General features: G+C 55.0%; 1 protein-coding gene across 4 annotated transcripts, besides 6 other annotated features; it reads right to left on the bottom strand.

The window, feature by feature from the left end:
- On the bottom strand, positions 1562 to 24762 carry JAK3 (Janus kinase 3). 4 transcript variants are annotated; one of them, NM_000215.4, is made up of 24 exons: positions 24726 to 24762; positions 21014 to 21210; positions 20557 to 20680; positions 20160 to 20271; positions 19807 to 19952; positions 19096 to 19390; positions 18420 to 18542; positions 18169 to 18326; positions 17010 to 17121; positions 16257 to 16443; positions 15043 to 15170; positions 14712 to 14843; positions 13909 to 13993; positions 12704 to 12831; positions 11863 to 11995; positions 11632 to 11783; positions 11351 to 11501; positions 9570 to 9709; positions 9299 to 9488; positions 8454 to 8578; positions 8008 to 8180; positions 7283 to 7400; positions 6888 to 6998; positions 1562 to 3690 (listed from the first exon to the last, which is right to left on the bottom strand). In NM_000215.4, exons 2-24 carry the CDS (start codon positions 21195 to 21197, stop codon positions 3523 to 3525), a joined length of 3375 nt encoding a protein of 1124 aa, NP_000206.2. In that variant the 5' UTR covers positions 21198 to 21210; positions 24726 to 24762; the 3' UTR covers positions 1562 to 3522. The 4 variants fall into 4 exon arrangements, 3 of the variants coding, with proteins under 3 accessions (NP_000206.2, NP_001427368.1, XP_011526293.2); NM_001440439.1 differs by having other exon boundaries at positions 21014 to 21241; XR_007066796.1 differs by lacking the exons at positions 1562 to 3690; positions 6888 to 6998; positions 7283 to 7400; positions 8008 to 8180 and having other exon boundaries at positions 8502 to 8578; positions 9214 to 9488.
- Positions 7813 to 7862: a silencer, noted in NCBI's record as "silent region_10360". NCBI's record gives its function as "represses an Ori minimal core promoter by ATAC-STARR-seq in GM12878 lymphoblastoid cells {active_cell/tissue: GM12878}" and the evidence as "EXISTENCE:reporter gene assay evidence [ECO:0000049][PMID:35858748]".
- Positions 7813 to 8418: a biological region, named in NCBI's record as "H3K27ac-H3K4me1 hESC enhancer GRCh37_chr19:17941863-17942447".
- Positions 7834 to 8418: an enhancer, noted in NCBI's record as "H3K27ac-H3K4me1 hESC enhancer chr19:17941863-17942447 (GRCh37/hg19 assembly coordinates)". NCBI's record gives its function as "activates a minimal SCP1, AML or CMV promoter by ChIP-STARR-seq in naive H9 embryonic stem cells {active_cell/tissue: H9 hESC(naive)}" and the evidence as "EXISTENCE:reporter gene assay evidence [ECO:0000049][PMID:30033119]".
- Positions 8419 to 9002: an enhancer, noted in NCBI's record as "H3K27ac-H3K4me1 hESC enhancer chr19:17942448-17943031 (GRCh37/hg19 assembly coordinates)". NCBI's record gives its function as "activates a minimal SCP1, AML or CMV promoter by ChIP-STARR-seq in naive H9 embryonic stem cells {active_cell/tissue: H9 hESC(naive)}" and the evidence as "EXISTENCE:reporter gene assay evidence [ECO:0000049][PMID:30033119]".
- Positions 18843 to 19079: a silencer, noted in NCBI's record as "fragment chr19:17952872-17953108 (GRCh37/hg19 assembly coordinates)". NCBI's record gives its function as "represses an EF-1alpha promoter that drives an FKBP-Casp9 reporter gene in an ReSE screen in K562 erythroleukemia cells {active_cell/tissue: K562}" and the evidence as "EXISTENCE:reporter gene assay evidence [ECO:0000049][PMID:32094911]".
- Positions 18972 to 19061: a silencer, noted in NCBI's record as "silent region_10361". NCBI's record gives its function as "represses an Ori minimal core promoter by ATAC-STARR-seq in GM12878 lymphoblastoid cells {active_cell/tissue: GM12878}" and the evidence as "EXISTENCE:reporter gene assay evidence [ECO:0000049][PMID:35858748]".

Genomic DNA, 25951 nt, shown 5'->3' on the forward strand with positions numbered 1-25951 from the left:
AGACCAGAAATGTTCAGAATTTTGTTGTTTCTATTACTGTACAAATGAGAAAACTGAGGCACACAGGCCAGGTGCAGTGGCTCATGCCTGTAATGCAAGCACTTTGGGAAGATGGGGCAGGTGGATCACTTGAGGTCAAGAGTTCGAGACCAGCCTGCCCAATATGGTGAAACTCTGTCTCTACTAAAAATACAAAAATTAGCCAGATGTGGTGGTGCATGCCTATAATCCCAGCTACTCGGGAGGCTGAGGCAGGAGAATCACTTGAACCCAGGAGGTGGAGATTGCAGTGAGCCGAGATGGTGCCGCTGCACACCAGCCTGGGGACAGAGACTCCGTCCCCTCACCAGACAAAAAGAAAGAAAAGAAAAGAAAAAAAGAAAACTGAGGCACAGAGAAAGGACCCCAAACTTGCCCAAGGTCACAGGAGGCTGAGCAGAGCCCAGGTCTTCTCAAGGCGCCTGACACGCAGGGCTGGGGGTGTCCCATCCGAAGCTCTGTCTCCCCAACACGGTTGTCCCCTCTGGGTGAGCAGGGGCTGGTGGACCCAGAATAGAGCAGGATTTATTTGTTCAGTGGATGCTTGGCCCCCGCTTCATGCCTAGGGGGTCTTATAGCTTTGTTTTTCCAAGGAGGGAATCTGAGGTTGAGAGAGGGAAGGATGCTTGACCCTAGGCAGGAGAGAACCTGGGCTGGAACTCGAGTCTTGCTTGACCCCAGAGCAGCTCCCTCCCTATTTCTACCAAATTAGGGGGCCCTCTGGGGCTAAGAGAGCAGGGACAGGGATCTCTCTCTCTCTCTCTCTCTGAGTCTCTCTCGGCCTTCATCTCTCAGTTTCCTTCTGTATGTCTGTCTCTGTCCGCATTTTTCTTTTTTTTGAAACGGAGTCGCTCTGTCGCCCAGGCTGGAGTGCAATGGCATGATCTCAGCTCACTGCAACCTCCACATCCCAGTTTCAAGCAATTCTTCTGTCTCAGCCTCCTGAGTAGCTGGGATTACAGGCATGTGCCAGAACACCAGGCTAATTTTTGTATTTTTAATAGAGACGGTTTCGCCATGTTGGCCAGGCTGATCTCATACTCCTGACCTCAAGTGATCCTCCTGCCTTGGCCTCTTAAAGTGCTGGGATTACAGACGTGAGCCACTGAGCCTGGCCACTCTCCACATCTTTCTAGCAGTTATGAGGTGCACATGACGGGGGCCGGTCGGTGGGGAGGTGGTCCGGCCCCAGTGATGCTGGTCCCCTCCCCACAGCCTCGCTCCCCCAACCTGGCCTTGTCCTCTGACCACCGGGAGAGCATCCTGTTCCTTCCCCACCCACAGAGAGCCTGTAATCAGCTCCCCCAGGCTGCAGCCAAGGCCAGCAGCTGGGGCTGGGAGTGAGGGGGCTCTGTCCTTGAGGGCCCCAGCCAAGCCCCACCCAGTGGTCCTCCTCCACCAGCCTGCCCTGGGGCCCCCACAGTGGCTCCCTGAGAGGTCTCTGGCCCACAGCTCTAACCGCATCCCTCCCAGCTCACACACCCTCTGAGGCTCCCCATCGCCCCAAGTCCAGCACAAAATCTTTTCCACTGAATTCCTTTATTCAGTCAACAAACATTTCCAGAGCCCCCTCTGTACTGAGGCCTCAGCCCAGCCCCCAAGGAACCCTGAGGTCAGGGGAGACAGCTGGACACAGACACTTCCCCAGCCCCAGGGCCAGAGTGGGGCTGGAGGGAAGGACAGGGCTACAGTAGTAGTGGGGGTATATGAGGGAAGGCTGCAAGGATGTGGTAGCTGGAGTTTTGAGAGATGGATAAGAGTTTTCCAAGGAGGCAAAAGTGGCAGAAAAGCTTTGCAGGTGAGGAGGAGCAGCAGAAGCTTAACCTGCATGAGAATCCCTCTCACCAGTCAGAAAGTTGACCCTGCACAGCCAAGGGGTAAGCTCTGACCATTTTGCAGGGGACAGAACTGAGACCCAGAGAGGGAAAGGAACTTGCCCACTGTCACACTGCATGGAAGGGGCAAAACTGTAGGCTCCAATACTTGGGCTCTTAACCTCCTTACTCTGAGCCTTCTCACGCTTGGCATGCTGTTCCCTCTGCCAGGAATGCCTTTCCTTCCCTTGATTGCGTGAAAAGTTCCTGCCAGGTTTGGTGTCATCCCTTTGTGCCCCTTGTAGGGTGAGGACAGAAAGGGTCCCATTGGACAGGTGGGAAAACTGAAGCCCTAGGACACTCAGATACCATTAGGGTGGACTGGGACCCCAGCCTTTCCTGCCCCCTTTCAGGATCCCAAAGAGATACACGGGCTCCCCTAAAAGGCAGAGTCCCAGCCACAGCAACTGCTCTTGTCCTTGGCTTCCTCCAGAGAAACAGAGATCGGGGAGCAGAAGTCAGATCATACATTTAAAGCTACATGAGGGCCGGGCGCAGTGGCTCATGCCTGTAATCCCAGCACTTTGGGAGGCCGAGACGGGCAGATCACGAGGTCAGGAGATGGAAACCATCCTGGCTAACAAGGTGAAACCCCGTCTCTACTAAAAATACAAAAAATTAGCCGGGTGTGGTGGCGGGCGCCTGTAGTCCCAGCTACTTGGGAGGCTGAGGCGAGAGAATGGTGTGAACCCAGGAGGCGGAGCTTGCAGTGAGCCTAGATTGCGCCACTGTACTCCAGCCTGGGCGACAGAGCGAGACTCCGTCTCAAAAAAAAAAAAAAAAAAAAAGCTACATGAATGTCCCCATTGGAAATAAGACAGGAAACTCAAAACTAGGTGCTGTAGTCCCAGCTATTTAGGAGGATAAGGCAGGAGGATCACTGTAGCCCAGGAGTTCAAGACCAGCCTGGGCAACGTAGCAAGATCCTGTCTCTTAAAAATAATAATAATAAATTTAAAAAAAAAAAAGCCTGGGTGCAGTGGCTCATGCCTATTATTCCAACACTTTGGGAGGCTGAGGTGGGAGGATCACTTGAGGTTAGGAGTTCGAGATCAGCCTGGCCATCATGGTGAAACCTCATCTCTATTAAAAATAAAAAAAATTAGCCGGGTGTGGTGGTGCACACCTGTAATCCCAGCTACTCGGGAGGCTGAGGCAGGAGAATCGCTTGAACCTGGGAAGCAGAGGTTGCACTGAGCCGAGATCGCACCACTGCACTCCACCCTGGGTAACAGAGCGAGGCTCTGTCTCAAAAATAAAAATAAAAATAAAAAAAATAAAAAGAGAGAGACAGAAAAGGAAACTCAGGGGGCCAGGGCTTAAGGGGTTGGGAAGATGCGAGAGTCTTAAATTTGGTTCCTTGCTTCTTTGGGCCAGGACTCAGAGAGCCCCACTGACACATATGCCCATCTGTCTTGAACCTTAACAAATTGCAAAGGCCACAGGCTATTCTACAGGCCACGGGAGCCCCCCCAAATGCAATGTCATGGGGGTGTTCCTGAAGTAGAGGACCCTCATAAGGCCTCTGAGGCCCAGAGAGGGGCAGCTCCGGGCCTAAGGTCACACAGCCAGTCAACAGAGACCTAATCCAGAGGTCTGCGGGCAGGAGCTATGAAAAGGACAGGGAGTGGTGTTTGCCCTCTGGGTGAGCAGTGAAGGCATGAGTCTCACACCCCCGGCTTCCGCTCCACAGCATGTCCAGCTGGGGGCCCAGGGCGCTGAATGATGGCCGGTCCTGTGGGCTAGGGGCCCAGCACAGCTTCATGAGCTCGTGAACCTGAGGGGCGGGGGACAGATAATGGGGTCGTGCCTGAGCAGTCCAAAGGACACAACTCCCATTCAGCGTATTTGTTTTTGTTTTTTTGAGACGGAGTCTAGCTCTGTTGTCCAGGCTGGAGTGCAATGGCATGATCTCGGCTCACTGCAACCTCCGCCTCCCGGGTTCAAGCAATTATCCTGCCTCAGCCTCCTGAGTAGCTGGGATTATAGGCACGTGCCACCACGCCTGGCTAATTTTGTATTTTGAGTAGAGACAGGGTTTCACCATGTTGGCCAGGTTGGTCTCAAATTCCTGATCTCAGGTGATCCACCTGTCTTGGCCTCCCAAAGTGCTGGGATTATAGGCATGAGCCACCGCACTCATTCAGTTTTAAAACACAAATTAAATTCCATCCCATCTCTGCTCCAAAAACTCCCATGGCTCCCTATGGATCTTACTTATTTATTTATTTGAGATAAAGTTTCGCTCTTGTTGCCCAGGCTGGAATGCAGTGGTGCGATCTCGGCTCACTGCAAACCCTGCCTCCTGGGTTCAAGCGATTCTCCTGCCTCAGCCTCCCAAGTAGCTGGGATTACATGCACACACCGCCACACCTGGCTAAGTCTGTATTTTTAGTAGAGACGGGGTTTCACCATGTTGGTCAGGCTGGTCTTGAACTCCTGACCTCATGTAATCCACCCACCTCGGCCTCCTAAAGGGCTGGGATTACAGGTGTGAGCCACCGCGCCCAGCCCTTATGGATTTTACAACACACTTCTCCTTTCGAGACTACCCTGACCAACATGGAGAAACCCCATCTTAACTAAAAAAAAAAAAAAAAAAAAAAAAAAAAAAAAAAAAAAAAAATTACAGGTGGCGTGTGCCTGTAATCCCAGCTACTCGGGAGTCTAAGGCAGGAGAATTGCTTGAACCTGGGAGGCGGAAGTTGTGGTGAGCCGAGATTGCGCCATTGCACTCCAGCCTGGCCAACAAGAGCAAAACCACGTCTCAAAAAAAAAAAAACAACAAAAAAACACCACCTCTCCCTGATGCCCTCCTTCGCTCATCTCCATCCCTCCTTCCCTCATTTGTTCCGGGCAGTCACATCTGCCTCCATCGCACTGGTGCTTAAAGGCACCCAGCTCATTACCTCCCCAAGGCCTTTTTCCCTTCCGTGTCCTCCACTGGAAATTTCTTCTCCTAGCTTTACTCATGGGTAGGCTCCTCCTCCTTCCAGCGTCGGCCCCGTAAGAGGCCCTCTTTGACCACCCCCACCCCACCATTTCCCTCTGTTCATCTCTTTCAAGGCACTTATCACTACCATAATTTTGTCTTTGTTTTGTTTTGTTTTGTTTTGTTTTGTTTTGTTTTGTTTTGTTTTGAGACAGGGTGTCACTCTGTTGTCCAGGCTGGAGTGCAGTGGTACAATAATGGCTCACTGCAGCCTTAACCTCCTGGGCTCAAGCAATCCTCCTGCCTCAGCCTCCCTGGTAGCTGAAACCACAGGTGCATGTCACCACACCGGCTATTGCTTGTATTGTTTGTAGAGACAAGGTCTCACTATGTTGCCCAGGCTGGTCTTGAACTCCTGGGTTCCAGTGATCCTCCTGCCTCAGCCTCCCTAGTAGCTGAAACCACAGGTGCATGTCACCACACCGGCTATTGCTTGTATTGTTTGTAGAGACAAGGTCTCACTACGTTGCCCAGGCTGGTCTTGAACTCCTGGGCTCCAGTGATCCTTCTGCCTCAGCCTCCCAAAGTGTTGGGATTATAGGCATGAGCCATCGTGCCCAGCCTAGAATGTTCTTATCAGATTTTGCTAGTTACTGGGAGGACAGGGTCTTCAGCACCCAACAAGTCCTGGCACACAGTTGGCACTCAATAAATGTTTTTGGCCTGAGCAAATTAATTTATCAATGACCAACTGCATGTCAGACACTTCCACAAAGGTTATGATTATATGATTATAAACCATGAGAGGGTGGGATGTGGTGGCTCACGTCTGTAATCCCAGCACTTTGGGAGGCCGAGGCAGGAGGATCACTTGACCCCACGAGCTCAAGACCAGCCTAGGCAACACAGAGAGACCCCATCTCTTTAAAAAAATTTTTTAAAATTAGCCAGGCACAGTGGCTTATGCCTGTAAATCTCAGCACTTTGGGAGGCCAAGGCAGGAGGATCGCTTGAGCCCAGGAGTTCAAGACCAGCCTGGGCAACATAGCGAGACCTTGTCTCTTAAAAAAATTATTTTTATCTTATTTGTTTGTTTATTTATTTATTTATTTATTTTGAGATGGAATCTTGCTCTGTCGCCCAGGCTGGAGTGCAGTGGCATGATCTTGGCTCACTGAAACCTTCCCCTCCCAGGTTCAAGCAATTCTCCTGCCTCAGCCTCGCAAGTAGCTGAGATCACAGGCACCCACACATGGGTAATTTTTGTATTTTTAGTAGAGACAGGGTGTCACCATGTTGGCCAGGCTAGTCTCGAACTCCTGACCTCCGGTGATCTGACCGCCTCAGCCTTCAAAAGTGCTGGGTTTACAGGTGTGAGCCACCACACCTGGCCAAAATTATTTTTAAATTAGCCAGGCATGGTGATGTACACCTATAGTCCCAGCACTTTGGGAGGCTGAGGCAGGAGAATCGCTTGAGCCCACGAGTTCAAGACCAGCCTGGGCAATATAGTGAGGCTCCCATCTCTAAAAAATTATTTTTAAATTAGCCAAGTGTGGTGGTGTACACCTGTAGCTCCTGCTACTAGAGACACTGAACTAGGGGAATCACTTGAGCTCAGGAGTTGGAGGCTGCAGTGAGCTATAATTGCACCCCAGCCTGGGCAACAGAGTGAGCCCCCATCTATAAAAAAGAAAGAAAGAAAGAAAAAAAAAAACCATGAACGTCACCACCATTTATGGAGCATCGACTGTGTGCTCGGCTTTGAGCTGAGCCCTCATAGGCACAGGTGTTCAGGAGTCTAATCTTCCCTCACCCTATAAGGCATTACTATTCTCATTTTGGAAAAGGGTAAACTGAGGCTCTGAAAGTGCTCTGACTTGCCACACAGTGAGAGAGTAGCCAAGTGGGGGCCAGGATCCTCATCGGCCTCACACTCTAGCCTTTCTTCTCAGTACAGAGACTCAGGCGCCAGCTGGCTTGCCCGAGACCCCGGCCCAATCTACAGACTGGGAAACTGAGGCTAGCCCTGCGGCGCTCACCTCAGCAGGGCAGGCAGGAGGCGCCGGCAGCCTCTGGCCCTCCTCCAGCAGTTCCAAGAGGCGGCAGAGGGCGGGGACATCCCGCTCACATCCCATCATCCGCAGGAACTCCTGGAGCCAAGGAGGAGCGCATGTGGTGGGGGAGGAGCCTCCGTGGGTGGAGGGGGAGGGGCCACCCGTGGTGGGGGTAGGGGCCATCTGTGATGGAGCGGGGAGGGGCTGCCTGAACCGTGAAGGGGTCAGAAAGGTGAGGAAGCGTCCTCCCCACTGGGGCCTATGATGCTGGGACCAGGTGACCCCATGCTAAAGAGGGACGCAGGCGCAGACAGGTTGGAGATTGGCCACGAGGGGCGTGGAGGGAGAAGAAGGCTGGGGGCTCTGGGAAGCCGACTCACGGCCGAGGGGCTGCAGCTTTTGTCGCAGTAGGTGAAGAGCTCGTACAGGACGACCCCGAAGCTCCAGACGTCTGACTGGCGAGAGAAGATGTTGTCCGAGAGGGATTCGGGGGCATACCTGGAGAGGGGACAAGGTCTTGAGATGCGAGGGTGTAGAAAGGACAGGAAGAGGGGGGCAGCCTTGGAATGGGGAACTGGTCAGGGTAGGTGGGGACTGTGAGCAGGTCAGTCCCGTCTCCAGGGTCTCGGTTTCCCTGGCTGTGGGATAGGTGGATTCTCCAGCCCTGGGAGGTGCCTGGGAAGAGCTAAGGCTGTGGGGAGGAGGCGGGGGCAGCACGGAGGGGCGGAGATGGGGGCGGGGCCAGAGCCGTGGGAGGGGGAGGGGCCAGAACTGGGCGGGGGGAAGGGCGGAACTAAGAGGGGGCCAGCCCTGAGGGGCGGAGCCAGCGTGTTGGAGGGGTGGGGTTCTGAAGCTTGGGCGGGGCGAGAGCTGAGAGAAGGGCGGGGCTAAGGCTGGGGGCCGCTGACAGCAGGGCAGCGGGAGACAGAGGAGCCAGTGCTGTTGAGGGGGCGGGGCTCTGGGGAGTGGGAGGGGCCAAAGCTGCAGCGGAGGAAGGGCGGGGCTAAGGCTGGGGAGCAAAGCAGCGGGAGGGGGCGGGGGCATGGCTGGGGGCGGAGCCAGAGCCGTGGGGAATAGGGGCGGAGCCTAGGCGCGGGTTCCCCACCAGAAAATGGGGCTCTGGCCTGGCTCGCGGACCACGTAGTAGTCTTTGTCAAGCGGCAGCAGCTTAGCTAGGCCGAAGTCAGCGATCTTGACGTGTGCCTCGCTCTCCACGAGGATGTTTCGGGCGGCCAGGTCGCGGTGCACGCAGCGGCGGGAGCCCAGGTACTCCATGCCCTGCGGGCGGGCGGTGTGAGCGTGCAGAGAGGATCCCAGGATAATCCGGCAGGTACCCCAAGCGTGACCTGGCACCCCAACCCAGACCCCAACTATAACCCTACCCCCGAGCCATCCTCCACTGAAGTTCTGATCCTGAGCCCTAAGCCAACCCCACCACTCCCGAGACCTGGACCCCAAACCACTCCTCAGCCTTCACCGCGACCTCCAAGCAGACCCCTGCCCAGGCCGTGCCAGCTGAATCCCCACAAGTCCCGGGGCGCCCCCTCGCACCTTGCAGATCTGCGAGGAATAGAGAAGGAGGCGGCTGGCATCGAGGCGCGCGCGGTGCCGCTGCAGGAAGTCGCGCAAGCAGCCGCTGGGCAGGTACTCCATGACCAGCCGCAGGCTCTGGCGGCCTGGAGAAGGCAGGATCTGTCACAGCAGGGCCCAGCCCTGCTCGTCCCCCCATTCTTCCCCCCTTTCACAGTGGGACCTTGTGTCCCTCTCGACCTCAGTTTTGCTGACTGTAATATGGGAACCGCAACAATGACACATTGCTAATATCTCTTGAGTACTTTCTACAACATACATTGATGTGTTTATATATCACGGCCAGGTGCAGTGGCTCACGCCTGTAATCCCAGCACTTTGGAAGCCTCACTTGAGGTCAGGAGTTCAAGACCAGCCTGGCCAACATGGTGAAAACCCATCTCCACTAAAAACACAAAAATTAGCCGGGTGTGGTGGCACGCTCCTGTAATCCCAGCTACTCTGGAGGCTGAGGCAGGAGAATCACTTGAACTTGGAAGGCAGAGGTTGCAGTGAGCCGAGATTGAGCCACTGCCTCCAGCCTGGGTGACAGAGCGAGACTCTGTCTCAAAAAAACAAACAAACAACAACAACAACAAAGTAAATATCACAATGGCCCATTTTTCAGCTGGAGAAACTGAGGCTCAGAAAAGTTAAGGTTTCACAACTGGTAAGGGGTAGAGTCAGGATTCAAACCTGTAACCCATGTGAATCTGGATCAATAATCACGTTCCCAGCCTACCTAAAGTGGCCTGGCAGGAGGGTAAGAATGTGCACTTTGAAAAGCACCCATACGTCTTGGTTCACTCATCCGGGAGCTGGCTCACCCGGGCCATAGCTGACACCACGATACTTGACAATGAAATCACTGTGCAGTGCTTTGAGGATCTGAATCTCCCGCTGAAAGTCCCTCTGCTGGTCTGGCCCGCTGTGCTGCAGCTGTTTCACGGCCACCAGGGCACCTGTATTGTCGCCTAGCGGGTCATAGCGGCACAGCTCCACGCTGCCAAAGTTGCCCTGGGGGATAGCGGGACTGATGTCCAGGCACCTGGATGCTGCCCTGCCCTCTCCAACCCACCCTGGCCCTGCCCACCTTACCTTGCCCAGCTGTGAGATGTACTTGAGGTGTCTCTCCTCGAAGATCGTGGGGTCTTGGCAGGCATAGAGCTGGGCACCATTCCACAGCCCATCACGAGGTGCCAGGGCACCAGGTGTGGGGTCTGAGAGGAGCTCATAGTCTGGGGTGGGGGCATGGGCAGTGGTAAGCAGCGCCTCTCATCCTGGGCCCCACTCCTGAGTTGACTTGCTGTGCAACCTCCATCTGCATATTGACCCTCTCTGTGCATTATGGCAGGGCCATTGCAAGCCAAAGGGTACCTTGTGGAGACTGGAAAAAGGTGTCTCCCACTCTGTCCCAGGCAAAGGAAGCCTCCTCGTGCAGTGCACACCCTGTGCAACTCCACATGGCTACAAAGATGGAGGACATAATGAGAACTCATTTCCCCAGTTCCACTGCTATGAAATGTGGCCACATGACTGAGCTCAGGCTGATGGACAAGATATGCTGGGTGCCCCTCCAGTCCTGACCCATGGAAACCTAATACGGGGCCCTCCACACTCTCTCTTTTATCTGCAGAGGATCCAACGGGGACCCAACGCCTGAGGTGAGTGCAGCCACTAAGTGAGAGGTTCCTGTGGGCCTGGACACCCTCATTGAATGAAGACTAAATATCACACTGGGCATGGTTGTGTGTGCCTGTAATCCCAGCTATTTGGGAGACTAAGGCAGGAGGATTGCTTGAGCCAGTAATTCAAGACCAGCCTGGGGAACATAGCAAAACCCCATCACAGAAAAAAAAAAAAAAAAAAAAAAAATCCAGCCTGGTGTGGTGGCTCATGCCTGTAATCCCAGCACTGGGTGGCTGAGGTGGACGGATCTCTTTGAGACCAGGAGTTCAAGACTAGCCCGGCCAACATGGCAAAACCCTGTCTTTACTAAAAAATACAAAAATTTAGCCGTGTTTGGTGGCACGCCCTTGTAATCCTAGCTACTTGGGAGTCTGAGGCGGGAGAATTGCTTGAACCAGGGAGGCAGAGGTTGCAGTGAGCCAGGATCACGCCACTGCACTCCAGCCTAGGTGACAGAGGGAGATAGTGTCTCAAAAATATAAAATAAAATAAAATAAAAATGCATACAGGCATGCATCACCATGCCTGGCTAATTTTCTGTTTGTTTGTTTGTAGAGATGGAGTTTTGCCATGTTGCCCAGGCTGGTCTTGAACTCCTGGGCTCAAGCGATCCACCTACCTATAGCTGGAACTATAGGCATGAGCCACTGCGCCCAGCCAAACATTTTTTTAAAAGAATGAAATAGACCAGACATGGTGGCTCACACCTGAAATCCCAGCACTTTAGGAGGTAGAGGTGGGCGGATCACCTGAGGTCAAGAGTTCGAGACCAGCCTAGCCAATATGGTGAAACCCCATATCTGCCAAAAATACAAAAATTAGCTGGGCGTGGTGGCACACACTGTAATCCCAGCTACTCAGGAGGCTGAGGCAGGAGAATCGCTTGAACTAGAGGTTCAAGGAGGTAGAGGTTGCAGTGAGCCGAAATTGTGCCACTGCACTCCAGCCTAGGCAACAGAGCAAGACTCTGTCTCAAAAATAAATAAATAAATAAAATATCATCATGTTGAACCTTGAACTGAGGGGACTGTTCGTTACAGTAGCTGTTGAAGCTCACACTGACTGTCACAGTCACCAACCCCTCCAACCTCACCAGACACACAGGGCGTGGCCTGCTGCAAACCACGCTCCTTCCACTGGGCCCAATATGACATCACAGCCCTCCCCACCCAACCCGTCCCAGCGGGCACCTGAAGAGATGAGGCTATTGAGGTCACGAATGACGGCTCGGAAGGAGGGCCTCTGGACCGGCTCATAGGCCATGCACTGTTGAATCAGCAGGGCCAGCTCTGTCCACTTGGGGGCCGGCAGCTGCTGCCGGTCCTCATAAAATTGGAGTTTCTGAGGGTGAGAGGAGCAGTCGGTAATCCCCAACCCAATAGACCCACCCCAATCTCCCCAGACTGGATGTCAGTCTGCCCTTCTGTCAAAGTGGGGGTTCGGAGACCGATGCCGGGTGAGGGGCTCTGACCTTAGCAGGATCCAGGGCACTGATGGGCATGGTGACGCCACTAAACACTTCCCAGACCGTGGCGCCGAAGCCCCACTTGTCAGCTTCCAAGCTAAGTGTCTGCGCCTCCCGGAGACACTCGGGGGCCACCCAGGGGATCCTGTCGGTGAGCACTGAGGGAATGAAAGTGGGATCAGGGATCCACTTCCTTGCCCTGCTCAGCCCCTCCCTCCTCCACCTCCAGGAACTTACTCTCCAGGCTTAACACAGCGGGGCTGACCCCAGGGTCACTCAGCTTGATGAAGGGCGGGCTCCCATCAGCCCCCTCCCGAGCCAGGAGCACCTTCCGGGCAGAGACATTGCCATGGGGCAGGCCTTTGTCCTCCTAAGGGGGCCAGACACAGGAAAATGCCCGGGAGGGTTTGATGAATGAAGAGTCTGTTTGGCAAACTCCTATACATCCTTCAAAACCCACTTGGTACTGCTCAGACATGCTCCAGCATCGTCCCTGACTCCTGACATCCTGTCTTGCCCCTCTAGTTCACCCCCTACACTGACCTGGCTATGTCCCTCCCCTTCTCAAACACCACCCCATCCTGTGACTCCCCAGTGCCTTTGACACAAAGTGAAAGCTCCTCAGCCTGGCATTCAAGGCCCTTGCTCAAGCTTCCAATGAACTTCCCTTCCACACTTGCACCCTGGTCTCCTGCCAACAGAACTGCCTGATAGGCCCCAGGGGATGCAACACACTATCTAGCCTGCAGGCCTTTGCCTAGGCTGTTCCCTCAGCCTGACATTCCTTCCTTCCTTTCTTCTCTTGATGAACTTCTACTCAACTTTTAAGGCCCTATCTCCAATGTTCCTTCTTCTAGGAAGCCTTTCTTCCTGCCCAGCCTCGTCATTCACCACACGCCCTGACATCCAAGAATGACTTGTTCTCTTCTAGTGTTCTCACAACCTGAACCTAAAATGCCCTCCCCTCGAACCCTTACCAAACTCCTATGCATACTACAGAGCCCACTCCCAATTCCTCTTCCACCCAGAGAAAGCCTTCCCTGGGAATGGAGGGTGGAGCAGGCAGAGGAGCACTCACCAGATAGTTGAGGGCGTAGGCCAGCTGTTTGACCACCTGCAGCTTCCAGCTGGCTGGCACCAGGTGGCCACGTTTTCGCAGATACATGTCTATGGCCCCCAGGTGTACAAATTCCTGCACCATGGTGCCTGGTTGGCAGCAGGGAGAGGCGGGGTTGGGAGACTGAACTGCACTTGTGTTGAGGAGGTTCTGCCAACACCCTGGCTCTCAGGGTCTCTCAAACTCTCATCTCTGTCTGTTCCCTCCCCTGCTGCCTCTGTTCATACAGTACTCACCTCTCCTCCCACCTCCATCTCTGAATGATTTGCCTGGAATGCCTGGAAGGTGTTGAGCCCTGTCTGTATCTGTATCTCACTTTTTTTTTTCTCTTTTCTTTTGAGACAGAGTCTTACTCTGTTGCCCAGGCTGGAGTGCAGTGGTGCGATCTCGGCTTACTGCAACCTCTGCCTCCCGGGTTCAAGTGATTCTCCTGTCTCAGCCTCCTAAGTAGCTGGAACTACAGGCGCATGCCACCACACCCGGCTGATTTTGTATTTTTAGTAGAGACGGGGTCTTGCCATGTTGGCCAGACTGGTCTTGAACTCCTGATCTCAGGTGATCCACTCGCCTCGGCTTTTCAATTACAGGCATGAGCCACCACGCCCAGCCTCTGTATCTCACTTCTAACCCTTTGCATATTCTGTGTCCTCTGCCTAGAACACCCCTCTTCCTTTCCTAATCCACACTTGTCCTTATCTTTCCAGGTTAGAATGCATCTCTGTCTTCCCACAAGCATTGCCCAACCCCCAGGCTGGCCCAGCAGCCTCTCTGACCATCCACAGTGCTCCGTGCTGCCCTCCTCACACCTCATCACACCCTGCCTGTCACATTCTAGGCTCTGTCCCAGCTCCTGGCCCATCCTAGACTCCCAACCAATGAAACCAAGGCTCAGAAAGGTTACGTGACCTGTACAAAGCTGCAGAGATTAGAAAGCCAGGTTTGTCTGACTTCAGGTCATTCTGGGGCTGGATATGGGTGAGAACCTGGAGCCGCTTTCCAAGGAGTGATGATGGAGAGACATAAATAAAGGGTAATGAACACGGCTCCCATCCAGGGTGGCCCAGTGTGTTGCTGGGGCTGTCATATAGCGGCTCAGAACAGAGGTGGGAAGAACAGCCTAGACTTGGGTGAGGCAGGGGTGGGGTGGGTGGGTGGGGGGCTCTCACTGTCTCCAGCCATGCACACGCCGTGGAGCAGCACGAGATGCCGGTACGACACTTGGCTCATCAAGCTCGCTGCTTCCAGGAATGACTGGGGAAGGTGGGAAGGGAGAGAAGATGCGTGGGTTTCTTCCACTCCAATAATCCCAAATTTTGTGCTCACAGACCTGCCTTAGGGGAACACCTGGCCACAGGTCACCTTTGGCCCTGGAGTCTGCCATTAGTGCACACAGCACTACCATGATTTTCTGATACGGGACAGAAGTTCCCACTATCATCTATGGTTTTTTGTTTTGTTTTGTTTTGTTTTTGAGACAGAGTCTCCCTCTGTCACCCAGGCTGGAGTGCAGTGGCGCGATCTTGACTCACTGCAACCTCCGCTTCCCAGATTCAAGCAATTCTCCTGCCTCAGCCTCCCGAGTAGCTGGGATTACAGGCATGCACCACCACGCCCGGCTAATTTTGTATTTTTAGTAGAGACGGGGTTTCTCCATGTTGGTCAGGCTGGTCTCGAACTCCCGACCTCAGATGATCTGCCCGCCTCAGCCTCCCAAAGTGCTGGGATTACAGGCGTGAGCCACCGCGCCCGGCCTAAAATTTTTTTGTCAAGACGAGGTCTCGCTATGTTGCCTAGGCTGTTCTTGAACTCCTGGCTTCAAACCATCCTCCTGCCTCAGCCTCCCAAAGTGCTGGGATGACAGGCATGAGCCACCACGCCCAGGTCCCTGTGTGTTTTTAAATTTCTCTGCATCCACGACCCCCTCTCCAGCCAGCCCCGACTCCAAAAGTCTGGTCCACATTGCTCTCACCTCCATGCAGTTCTTGTGCTTGGCATCCATGACCTTCAGCAGCACCTCTGTCTTTCGGGCCTCCCCATCCACCACCTCATGGCGACAGCCCCGGTAAATCTTGGTGAAGGACCCATGGCCCAGGTTCTCATGCTGAATGGTGAGGGGACAGCAGAAGAGGCCAGTGAGGGGGTTCCTGCAGGATCCCAGCCCAAGCGAGACATAGCTGCTGGCCCCATTTTACAGATGGGAAAACCGAGGCAAGGTAAAATTATAGCATATGCCTGAGGCCACGCATCTGAGTCTCTGGACCCCAGACTGAGGTATCGCCTCATTTCCCAGGGCCTCTTACCCACTCCAGGCTGTCAGCAGGGATCTTGTGAAATGTCATCTGACTCAGCTGGTATTGGGATTGGGGCTGAACCAAGGATGATGTGGGTGGGCTGTGACCTCTCTGGACCACGATCAGGTTGGACTTTTCTATGGGGAGAGGATGAGGGAGAAAAACCAGAAATCAGAGGTGAAAAGTCCCCAAGGGTTAGCTAACTCATGCCTTAGTTTGAGGTACCCTCTAGAAGCCGACCCTGAGATGAAGACTTCAGGGCACATGGCTTTTTGTTGTTGTTTTTGTTTTGTTGTTGCTGCTGCTGTTGAGACGGAGTCTCACTCTGTCATCCAGGCTGGGTGGGCAGTGGTGCGATCTCAGCTCACTGCAACCTCCACCTCCCAGGTTCAAGCGATTTTCCTGCCTCGGCCTCCCGAATAGCTGGGACTACAGGTGTGTGCCACCGTGCCCGGCTAATTTTTTTTTTTTTTTTTTTTTGAGACAGAGTCTCGCTCTGTCACCCAGGCTGGAGTGCAGTGGTGTGATCTCGGCTCACTGCAACCTCTGCCTCCTGGGTTCAAGTAATTCTCCTGCCTCAGCCTCCCAAGTAGCTGGGACTACAGGAGTGTGCCAGCACACCCAGCTAATTTTTGTATTTTTAGTAGAGATGGAGTTTCACCATGTTGGCCACGCTGGTCTCAAACTCCTGACCTCAGGTGATCCATCTGCCTCAGCCTCCCGAAGTGCTGGTATTACAGACGTGAGCCACTGTGCCTGGCTGGCACATGGTTTATTTGAAAGGAGATCCAGAAAGCCCCCATAGGGATTTGGGATGAGCGACAAGGAAGGAAGGAGCCCTGCAGGGGGCTTTAATGAGCAAGTGGCACTGTGGACAACCAGGGATCGGTTCTACCAGGGATTCTGGGAGACTCAGAAGAACTCACATCTCAGAATTGTCCCATCAGAGGGGTTTGTCCAGGAGTGAAATTCACCCAGAGGAAGAGCTGAGAGCTGGAGAGAGACTAGGTGCAGATGACATGGCTCACATCTAGCTGTGCCTAGATCAAGCCAGACCTAAAGGTTATATATCTCTAACTTCCTGAGCCAACAAATCACCTTTTCTTCCCTAACCCACCTTGACCTGCAGTTTCTGCCACTTGCCACCCACACAGGAGCTGTCACAGACATAGAAAGCCAGGGTCCCAGATCAGCCACTCATTCCAGGGGAGGAAGGGGCTCACCTTTGGGTCTGGGGATACAGCAGGAAGTGAGGGTCACTGCCACCCCATCTACGTGCAGCCCCCCATCCCAGCAGGTTGCCAGGAGCTCTCGAAGACTGCTGTGGGGTCGGCTGAGGCCAACCAGAAGGAAGGTTCCTGTGGGGCTGCGCCGGATGAGGCAGCCCTTATAATCAGGACCAAGGGGGTTCTGCAAAGAAGAGTGGCCCCTGAGTGGGACTGAGCGACAGACACTCTCCTTCTCAGTCCTTCTTCCTTTTTTTTCTTTTTTTTTTTTTTTTTTTGGAGACGGAGTCTGGCTCTGTCACCCAGGCTGGAGTGCAATGGCGTGACCTTGGCTCACTGCAACCTCCGCCTCCCAGGTTCAAGCGATTCTCCTGCCTCAGCCTCCCGAGTAGCTGGGACTACAGATGCCCACTACCACGCCCAGCTAAGTTTTATATTTTTAGTAGAGACAGGGTTTCACCATTTTGGCCAGGATGGTTTCGATCTCTTGATCTCTTGATCTGCCTACCTCAGCCTCCCAAAGTGCTGGGATTACAGGCGTAAGCCACTGTGCCCAGCCTCAGTCCTTTCTCCTAAAGCACCATGAACTCATTCCAGTCTTTAGACCTTTGAATATGCTGTTCTGTTCACCGGGGGTGTCTTTTCCCTCCTATTCTTCAGGAACCAAATGCTGACTGATCTTTTAAATCTCAATTCAAACGTCACCTCCTCCAGGCAGCCCTCCACTACCCACCCTAGCAGTAGACCGACCTGGACACAGACAGTGAGGAGGAAGCTGTCAAAGTCCTGGGGGCTGCGGCGGAGAACATAGGAGCCAGGACGTGAGCCCCCAGTCTTGAGCTTGTTGATGGCAAAGTCCAGACTGTGGGGGAAGGTGAGAGGGAATGGGGAGGAGTCAGAGATAGAAGAAGACAGAGAGACCTGGGCTCAAATTCAGGTACCTCTGTAGCCCTGGGATCCTTGCCAGGTGACACCCTCCCCCCATTTATAAAATCAGCCATGGGCCAGGCGCCGTGGCTCACGCCTGTAATCCCAGCATTTTGGGAGGCCGAGGCAGGTGGATCACGAGGTCAGGAGATCAACACCATCCTGGCTAACACCGTGAAACCCCGTCGCTACTGAAAATACAAAAAAATAGCCGGGCGTGGTGGCGAGCACCTGTAGTCCCAGCTACTCGGGAGGCTGAGGCAGGAGAATGGCGTGACCCTGGGAAGCAGAGGTTGCATTGAGCCGAGATCGTGCCACTGCACTCCAGCCTGGGCGACAGAGCCAGACTCCGTCTCAAAAAAAAAAAGAAAAAAGAAAATCAGCCGTAAGTCTTGGCCTCTTCTGGGAGATTGTTTGTTTGTTTGTTTGTTTTAATAGAGACAGGGTCTTGCTTGGTTGCCCAGGCTGGAGTGCAATCTCAGCTCACTGCAGCCTCCAACTCCTGGGCTCAAGTGATCCTCCTGCCTCAGCCTCCGGAGTCGCTGGGACTACAGGTCAACCACCACACCCAGCTATTTTTTTTTCTTTTTTTGTAGAGATGGGGTCTCTCCTGTTGCCTAGACTTGTCTCCAACTCCTGAGTTCAAACAATCCTCCTGCCTTGGCCCCTCAAAGCGCTGCGATTGCAGGTGTGCCCCACTATGCCTGGCCCTTCCTGGGAGATTAAACAAGAGGCTGTAGGTGAAGGTGGGCGACTTGTCCATCTCCAGGAAATGGCCCTGGGGTCAGAGAGAGAGAGAGTAGTGGTCGCCCTGTGAAGCAGAAGGAATACTTCAGCTTCACTGAGCGCTGACTGTGCGGCAGGTGTGGTTTGAAAACTTGACCCCTGTCCAGGGCTCCTGGAAGGTGAGGACACTGAGGCATAGAGAAGGGGAGGGGCCCTGAGTGGCCACAGAGGCCGGGAATGGGGGACAGGTCCTTACGTGATGGGGCCGTGGCACTGCTCGGCCACTTCCTCCAGCAGCCTCGGCGGTGCCACCTCCTTGCAGAAGAAGTGCTGGGAGTCCGTGGTCAGCCGGAAGTAGCCGTCCACGAGCGCCACGAACGACAGAGCCTCGGGCAGCCCTGGGAACTCGGCCTCCTGCGAGGGACAAGCGTCAGAGCCCAGTGAAACCCGAGGGTGCCGGTCCCGCCCTCGGGGTAAGGCTGAAGGGGAGGGGAATCCTGCACCCACTAAAATCTGGTTGTCTGTCCTGGTAACAGTGACCAGGCGGTGCTCTCCGGCCGGGCCAACGCGCGGGGCCTGCTTGATGCTAATGTCTACGATTTCTGGAAAGTCGCAGAAGGGCTGGAGGACCTGGGAAGGAGGGGGAGTACCGAAGTGGGGGCCCAGCTGGACCCCGCCAAACCACGCCCATGAACCCACCCCCAAGCCACACCATCCACTCCCTATCCCTTTGCCATTCAACCCTTCCAAGCCGCGCCCCCTCCTATCAACTCCAACCTCTCAACACCTCCCCTACCCATCCCCAAACATCTCCCACCCGCTCTGCCAATCCCCGCCTCCTTCTCTCTGCCGGACCCCGCCCCTTGATCCCTGCCCCGCTTCGCAGCCTCCCAGCTCTCGGAGCCTCACTCTGCCTCTTAGTCTTGCCTCGTTCCAGCGCCCACCCACCCACTCCTCAACCCCTCCCATTTTCATTCCCGGGTCGCTCAGCCCAACCCTTCACTCAGTTTGCCCCTCCCATTCCCGCAGTCTCCTCCCTCACTAAGCCCCGCCCCTCATTAAGCCTCGCCCACTTCCCCAAGTCTTTCGTTTTGGCTCCGCCCCACATCCCCTACCACTCTCCGGCCCCTCCCCGAGCCCCGCCCCCACGTTGGCCCCGCCCAGCGGGGGAGTCCGCCCTCACCTCCTGTTCTCCCTGGGTCCAGGCGATGCCGCCGTCACCAGCCACGCGGAGCAGCCCCAGCCCGTCGTGGCCACCAAGGGCCCCAGGGAGGCCCACGTGGAAGGTCTCGGCGGCCCCGGCTGGATCCAGCCGCTCCAGGTCCATGATGTACTTGGCCATGAGCGAGTGCCGGTCTGCCTGGCAGGCGGCCACGCGGCGCAGGGCTCTGCGCACCGTCCTCCGAATACGCCTCCGCGTCACGAAGCTCAGGCCCTGGATCAGGTCGCGCAGGCTTGGGGGTAGGCAGGCCTTGTAGCTGCAGGGGTTGGAGGGGAGGGAGCCGGCCCTCAGCGTCGGGAGGGGTCCCCGCGGGGACACACACAAACCCAGGCTTTAGCCCAGGGGCTGGGGTGCGGCCCTAGTTGGGGCACCAGGCACACACAGACTCTCATTCAGGGTCAGGTATGAGGACCGGACCTCAGAGTAGGGGAGGGCCATTGGCGCCCACAGGTCGGACAGGGACCCCACAGGCCTTTTAGCTGGGGGAGGTCAGGTGTCTGTCCAGCTGGAGCCTGGGGGTGGAGAGGGCTGGGTTCGTGGGAGGCCCTGGGTCATAGGAACACCCTGAAAGCTTGCAGGAGAACTCCATGGTGGGAGCCCGGCAAAGCCCCGATGGAGCCCACGTTGCTCACTCCCAAGCAGAGGCCGTCCCCACAGCCTGGTGGCTCTCACCTGACAGTCTTCAGCAGCTCTCCCGGCCGCTGGGCCTGCTCTCGCGCCATCCGGGCCAGGTCCAACACGGCCAGGCTGAGACACTCACCCTGCTCCTTGAGACTGAGGCCCACGGGGAGGCGCCCACTCACCAGGTCACTGCGGTGCTGGGGGGCCGCCACAGGGAGCATCAGCTGAGGCCACCCAACTTCAAGCCCTGTTGTTAACCTGCAGACCCCCCCAATCCTGGGCTGACCCCCACCCCTGGACTGCCACAGGGAGGGTCAGACGAGGCCCCACCTGATTGCATGCCAGTCCTCATGTTGCCCCTTGGACCCCCAACCCCCTGGGTCAAACCCCAGGCAGAACCCCACCTGGGCAAAGAGGTGCTCCAGGACTGGCAGGTCAAGGATAGCACTGGCCAAATCCTTGCGTAGCCCGAAGCGGTGGCACTTCTCCAGCCCAAACCAATTGGGGAAGTAAAAGCTGTGAGGAGAGGAGAGAACCCTGGGATGAAAGTGCAACCCAGCCTCAGTAGGAGTGACATTATGGTGGGGGCGAGGGACAGATTCTGCGGAGGCCTCACAGAGCCCAGCTTGTACCTTTAACTTGCTGTGTGACCTTGGGCAAGTGACCCACCCTCTCTGGTCTGTTTCCTCATCTGAGAAATGGGTAGTGACCATACCTCCCTGGGGCAGGGGTGTGGGCACCTCGAAATGCAAGGAGATGATAAAATTGTACAATCCCTGGGGGCTGGGGGGCACTTCCTACCGAATCCTGTACAGCAGGACTTGGGTGCTGGCATCCTCCACGGAGAAGATGTGGCTCGGGGGGAACCAGCAGGACAGGTCCTCCGTGGCCAGAGCAAAGAGGGAGTGGTACACAGGCAGGATGCCTACAGGGGATGGTCCCATCAGCTCCCTCCTGAGTCACCCCATCTGTGCCCTTCAGGAGTGCCAGCATCATACCCAACCGTCCAGATCCTTCCATACCTCAAGGTATGACCAGCTGTTCCCTTCATGTGCCGTCACACCTCTCCGTCTGCACAGGCCATTCCCTCTGCCTCAGAAGCCAACCCTGCACACCCTTCTCCATTACAAAACTCCTACTCATCCCCCAAAGCCCCAGCTCCGATGCTGACTTCTGCAGGCAACTATTCCAGCTTCCAATCTTGGCCCCACACAGCCCCATCCTTCCCTCTGGCCCGATCCACTAGGGATGCACTCACCGCTGGCCTTGGCAGCCTGCACGCACAGGTCCTCAGCCAAGTGGTCCCCAAAGGAGAAAGATAGGCGCTGGGGGGGCCCGGGGCCCCGAGCGGGCAGCAGCACATGCAGGGCACCAGCCTCCGTGGACAAGAGGCTGCATGAACGCTGAGGGATCAGGGGCGTCTCTTCACTTGGAGGTGCCATGAGTGCAACTTGCCTGGGGCACAGAGAGAAAAAGCCCCTCAGTCCTGGTCAGAGGGGATTGGACTTCTGAGCAGGGAGGGCATGGAAAGGAGTGCTGGAGGCCGGGTGCGGTGGCTTATGCCTGTAATCACAGCATTTTGGGAGGCCGAGGCGGGAGGATCACTTGAGGTCAGGAGTTTGAGACCTGCCTGGCCAACATGGCGAAACCCTGCCTCTAAAAAGTGCAAAACTTAGCCGGGTGTGGTGGTGCGTTCCTGTAATCCCAGCAACTCGGGAGGCTGAGGCAGGACAATCACTTGAACCTGGGAGGCAGAGGTTGCAGTGAGCCAAGATTGTACCACTGCACTCCAGCCTGGACAACAGAGTCAGACTCTGTCTCAAAAAAAAAAAAAAAAAGAAAGAAAGAAAGAAAGAAAGAAGGAAAGCCTCCCTGGGATGGGCCCAGGAGGAAACTGGCCCCCTGCTTCCAGCCCCCAACACCTCCCACCCGCTCGCTCACTTGCCCTGAGAAACCTCAGCACTCAGGGCCCTCAGCTGGGTGGGGCCAGGGGTGGGGCTTCGAGTCCCCTGAGAAAAATTGGGGAGAAAAAGGAGGTCACTCAAATTGACCTGAATGAAGAAGATCTGAAGAAAGTGTTGGGAAAAACAAACAAAAACCTAAGTTCCAGCAGGGCGCAGTGGCTCATGTCTGTAATCCCATCATTTCCGGAGGCCAAGAAGGAAGGATAGCTTGAGACCAGGAGTTTGTTTTATGTTTTTTGCTTTTTTGAGACAGAGTCTCGCGCTGTCACCCAGGCTGGAGTGCAGTGGCGCAATCTCAGCTCACTGCAACCTCCGCCTCCCAAGTTCAAGAGATTCTCGTGCCTCAGCCACCCCAGTAGCTGGGATTACAGGTGGGCACCACCACGCCCAGCTAATTTTCTTGTATTTTTAGTAGAGATGGGGTTTCACTGATCTCAAACTCCTGGCCTCAAGTGATCAGCCTGCCTCAGCCTCCCAAAATGCTGGATTACATGTGTGAGCCACCGCGCCTGGCCGAGACCAGGAGTTTGAAACCAGACTGGGCAATATAGTGAGACCTCCTCTCAAAAAGAAAAAAAAGCCTTGTAATCCCAGCACTTTGACAGGCCGAGGCAGGTGGATCACTTGAGGCTAGGATTTTGAGACCTCATCTCTAAAAAATTAGCAGGGCATGGTGGCACACCCCCATAGTCCTAGCTACTTGGGAGGCTGAGACAGGAGGATGCCTTCAGCTCTGCAAGTTGAGGCTGCATTGAGCTATGATCACACCACTGCACTCCAGCCTGGGCGACAGAGCAAGACCTTATCTCTAGAAAAAAAACACAATACAAAAACTATGATCCAAAATAATGCCCTGTGGCTGGGGTGGGGCGGCATTAATGAGGGTTTTTTTGTTTTTGTTTTGAGACAGAGTCTAGCTCTGTCATCCAGGCTGGAGTGCAGTGGCACAATCTCGGCTTACTCTGCATCCTGGGTTCAAGTGATTCTCCTGCCTCAGCCTCCCAAGTAGCTGGGATTACAGGGGCACGCCACCATGCCCGGCTAATTTTTGTATTTTTGGTAGAGACGGGGTTTCACCATGTTGGCGAGGCTGGTCTGGAACTCCTGACCTCGAGTGATCCTCCTGCCTCGGACTCCCAAAGTGCTGGGATTACCGGCGTGAGAAACTGCGCCTGGCCTAATGAGGTTTAAGACAATCAGAGGACTAGGACCCCTAGGACTCAGCTTTCGCAGCTGTGAAATGGGCTGACTCCCCAGCATCCTCATTGAGGTGGTCTGCTGAGCGCAATCCAGGCCTAAAGTGTCAACTCAATTAATGTGCATTAATTTGTATATTTCTTGATGATGTGCCGGTAAGCGATCAACAAACGCCTGTTAAACCAAACAGGAAGGGCAATTGGCACAGCGGTGTGGTGGTTACTGTGGGAAGGGAAGTCTTGTGGGGGAAAGAACCTTACCAAAGGGACACTTTGATGTCACCGATGCCCAGACCAAGAATGAGCACATTCCTAGTCCCGGGAACCTTGGAGGAGCCCCATCTCTCCCACAGAGAGATTGATGTCTAGTTTTGCCCTTTATAGAAATAAAATCACACACCATAGCCTCTCTATCGTCCCCTCAACATCAGCCAATCAAGTTTTTTGGTTTGTTTGTTTGTTTTTTTGAGACGGAGTCTCGCACTGTCACCCAGGCTGGAGTGCAGTCGCACGATCTTGGCTCACTGTAGCCTCTGCCTCCTGGGTTCAAGCGATTCTCATGCCTCAGCTTCCCAAGTGGCTGGGATTACAGGCGCGCACCACAGCGCCCAGCTAATTTTTGTATTTTTAGTAGAGACGGAGTTTCACCATGTTGGCCAGGCTGGTCTCAAACTCCTGGCCTCAGGTGATTCGCCTGCCTTGGCCTCCCAAAGTGCTGTGATTACACACGTGAGCCACATTGCCCAGCCTTTTTATTTATTTATTTATTTTGTAGGGGGGAGGACGGATTCTTGTTCTGTCTCCCAGGCTGGAGTGCAGTGGCATGATCTCGGCTCACTGCAAACTCCACCTCCCAGGTTCAAGCGATTCTCCTGCCTCAGCCTCCTGAGTAGCTGGAATTACAGGCACCCGCCACCAAACCTGGCTAATTTTTGTGTTTTTAGTAGAGATAGGGTTTCACCATGTTGACCAGGCTGATCTCGAACTCCTGACCTCCAGTGATCCGCTGGCCTCAGCCTCCCAAAGTGTTGGGATTAAAGGCATGAGCCACTGTGCCCAGCCCCAGTCGAGTTTAAAATAAGGCTTCAGTGGCAGTGGCGCCCCACTGCAATCCCAGCTACTCAGGGGGCTGAGGCAGCAGGATAGCTTGAGGCCAGGGGTTAGAGACCTGCCTGAACAACATAGCAAGACTCCCATCTCCAAAACAACAAAAAAATCTTAACAGAATATTATTATTCTGTAATACTGTAACAAAAAAAAATGAAAAGTCAGAGGTGATGTTTGGTCCCAGAAAACGCCATAGTTTTTTTGGTTTTTTAAAAATGTTTGTAGAAATGGAGGTCTGGCTATGTTGCCCAGGCTGGCCTTGAACTCCTGGCCTCAAGCTATCCTCCCGCCTCGGCATCCCCTGTTTATAATCCTCAACGTTCTGCATCCTGGTATGGTCGGGTACCCTGTGTCTGGACCGGGAAGGCCTGGAGGGTAGGGGCTGGGAACTCCGCCCCCCAATCCCTCCTTCCCAATCCCTCCTCCCCACCCCCAACCCCGCAGCCCCCGTCGCGCATGCGCAATGACTCCTCCAGGTCCGCAAGGCAGGCATCTCCCGGCCTTAGTCAAAGCCGAAGCCCAGAGAAGCGAGCGATCGGAGGATGCGAGTCTCGGCTCACGTCTGCCTCGCAGCTTTCCTCCGAGGCCTGGAAGGCGAGCTAGCCTTTGCCCTGGCAGCACCCTGCCCCAGCCCAGCCATCCCCCGCCACCACCATCCTCCCCCAGTGTCTGGGCCGAGCCCTGCGGCATCGCCAGCTCTTACCTAGCGGGCAGGGACCCTGGACTTTCGAAGGGCGGGCAGAGCCGGGAGGCAGCGAGAGGAAAGTCCCACTCGGCTCCTTCCTGTGTGGGCCCCTTGGTTTCCTGAGCCACTGTCATTTACCGAAAGTCAGGGCCCTGCGGGAGCTGGGGGCGGGGAGGCGGGCAAGGAGGGGCAGAAAGTTCCGGAAGCCTCTGCATCAGCCGCCCCGTTCAGACAGGCTGCTGGAGACCCCTAAGCCAAAGGAACTGATGATAGCACAGAGAAGGGTCTGGGTCACACCAGGGGCTCAGCCGACTCTAGACCCACTTGTTAAGTGGGGCTCTGGCCCGGCCCTTATTGCCTCAGTTTACCCATCTGTAGCATGTGTGAGTTGGGCACCCAGTGGAACTAATTTTGCACCCAGGGAAGGAAACCTGGCTGGATTTGCCCAGGAGGGAAGCAGGGAAGTTGCCCCAGAGGAAGGTCAAGTTCTTCTTTGAGGTATTTCTCCCTTAAGACTCAGGGAGACGCTGGGCGCAGTGGCTCACGCCTGTCATCCCAGCACTTTGGGAGACTGAGGCGGGCGATTACTTGAGGTCAGGAGTTTGAGACCAGCCTAGCCAACATGGCGAAACTCCGTCTCTACTAAAAATACAAAAATTAGCCAGGCGTGGTGGCCTGTAATCGCAGCACTTTGGGAGGCTGAGGCGGGCGGATCACTTGAAGTCAGGAGTTTGAGACCAGCCTGGCCAACATGATGAAACCCTGTCTCTACTAAAAACAGGAAAATTAGCCAGGCCTGGTGATGCCTGTAATCCTAGCTACTCAGGAGGCTGAGGTGGGAGGATTGCTTGAATCTAGGAGGCGGATGTTACAGTGAGACGAGATGGCGCCACTGCACTCCAGCCTGGCAACAGAGCGGGACTTCGTTTAAAAAAAAAAGAAAAGACTCAGGGAGAGATAATGACCCATTTCTGCCTGTGGTGCCCTGGGCCCAGCCCTAAAAAACCAGGTGGATCCGGCCTGGCCTCTTGGAACTTGTGATCTGGCGCTGAGACAATGAGCAAATGAAGGAGCCAAATCATCGCAGACAACAAAGAAAGCCAGGGTGTCAGGACAGGCACAGACTGGAACTTGGACCCGAGGCAGGACAGGGAGCTGGCCAGGGAAAGGGTGCTCCAGGAGGAGGGCACAGGATGGGCAAAGACCTTGAGAGGGCAGTGATCTTAGCAGCTTGAAGAGCAGTC

Source organism: Homo sapiens, chromosome 19 (assembly GCF_000001405.40).
Source record: "Homo sapiens chromosome 19, GRCh38.p14 Primary Assembly".
NCBI lineage: Eukaryota > Metazoa > Chordata > Mammalia > Primates > Hominidae > Homo > Homo sapiens.

What these genes read in the sequence shown, in the direction of transcription:
- JAK3 (NM_000215.4), bottom strand. Translation starts at nt 21,197, where the DNA reads ATGGCACCTCCAAGTGAAGAGACGCCCCTGATCCCTCAGCGTTCATGC. An exon ending in CTGTATCCCCAGACCCAAAG is followed by an intron (nt 15,171 to 16,256) that starts GTGAGCCCCTTC and finishes CTCTCCCCATAG; the next exon opens with AAAAGTCCAACCTGATCGTG. An exon ending in ATTCCTCGCAGATCTGCAAG is followed by an intron (nt 8,181 to 8,453) that starts GTGCGAGGGGGC and finishes GCCCGCCCGCAG; the next exon opens with GGCATGGAGTACCTGGGCTC.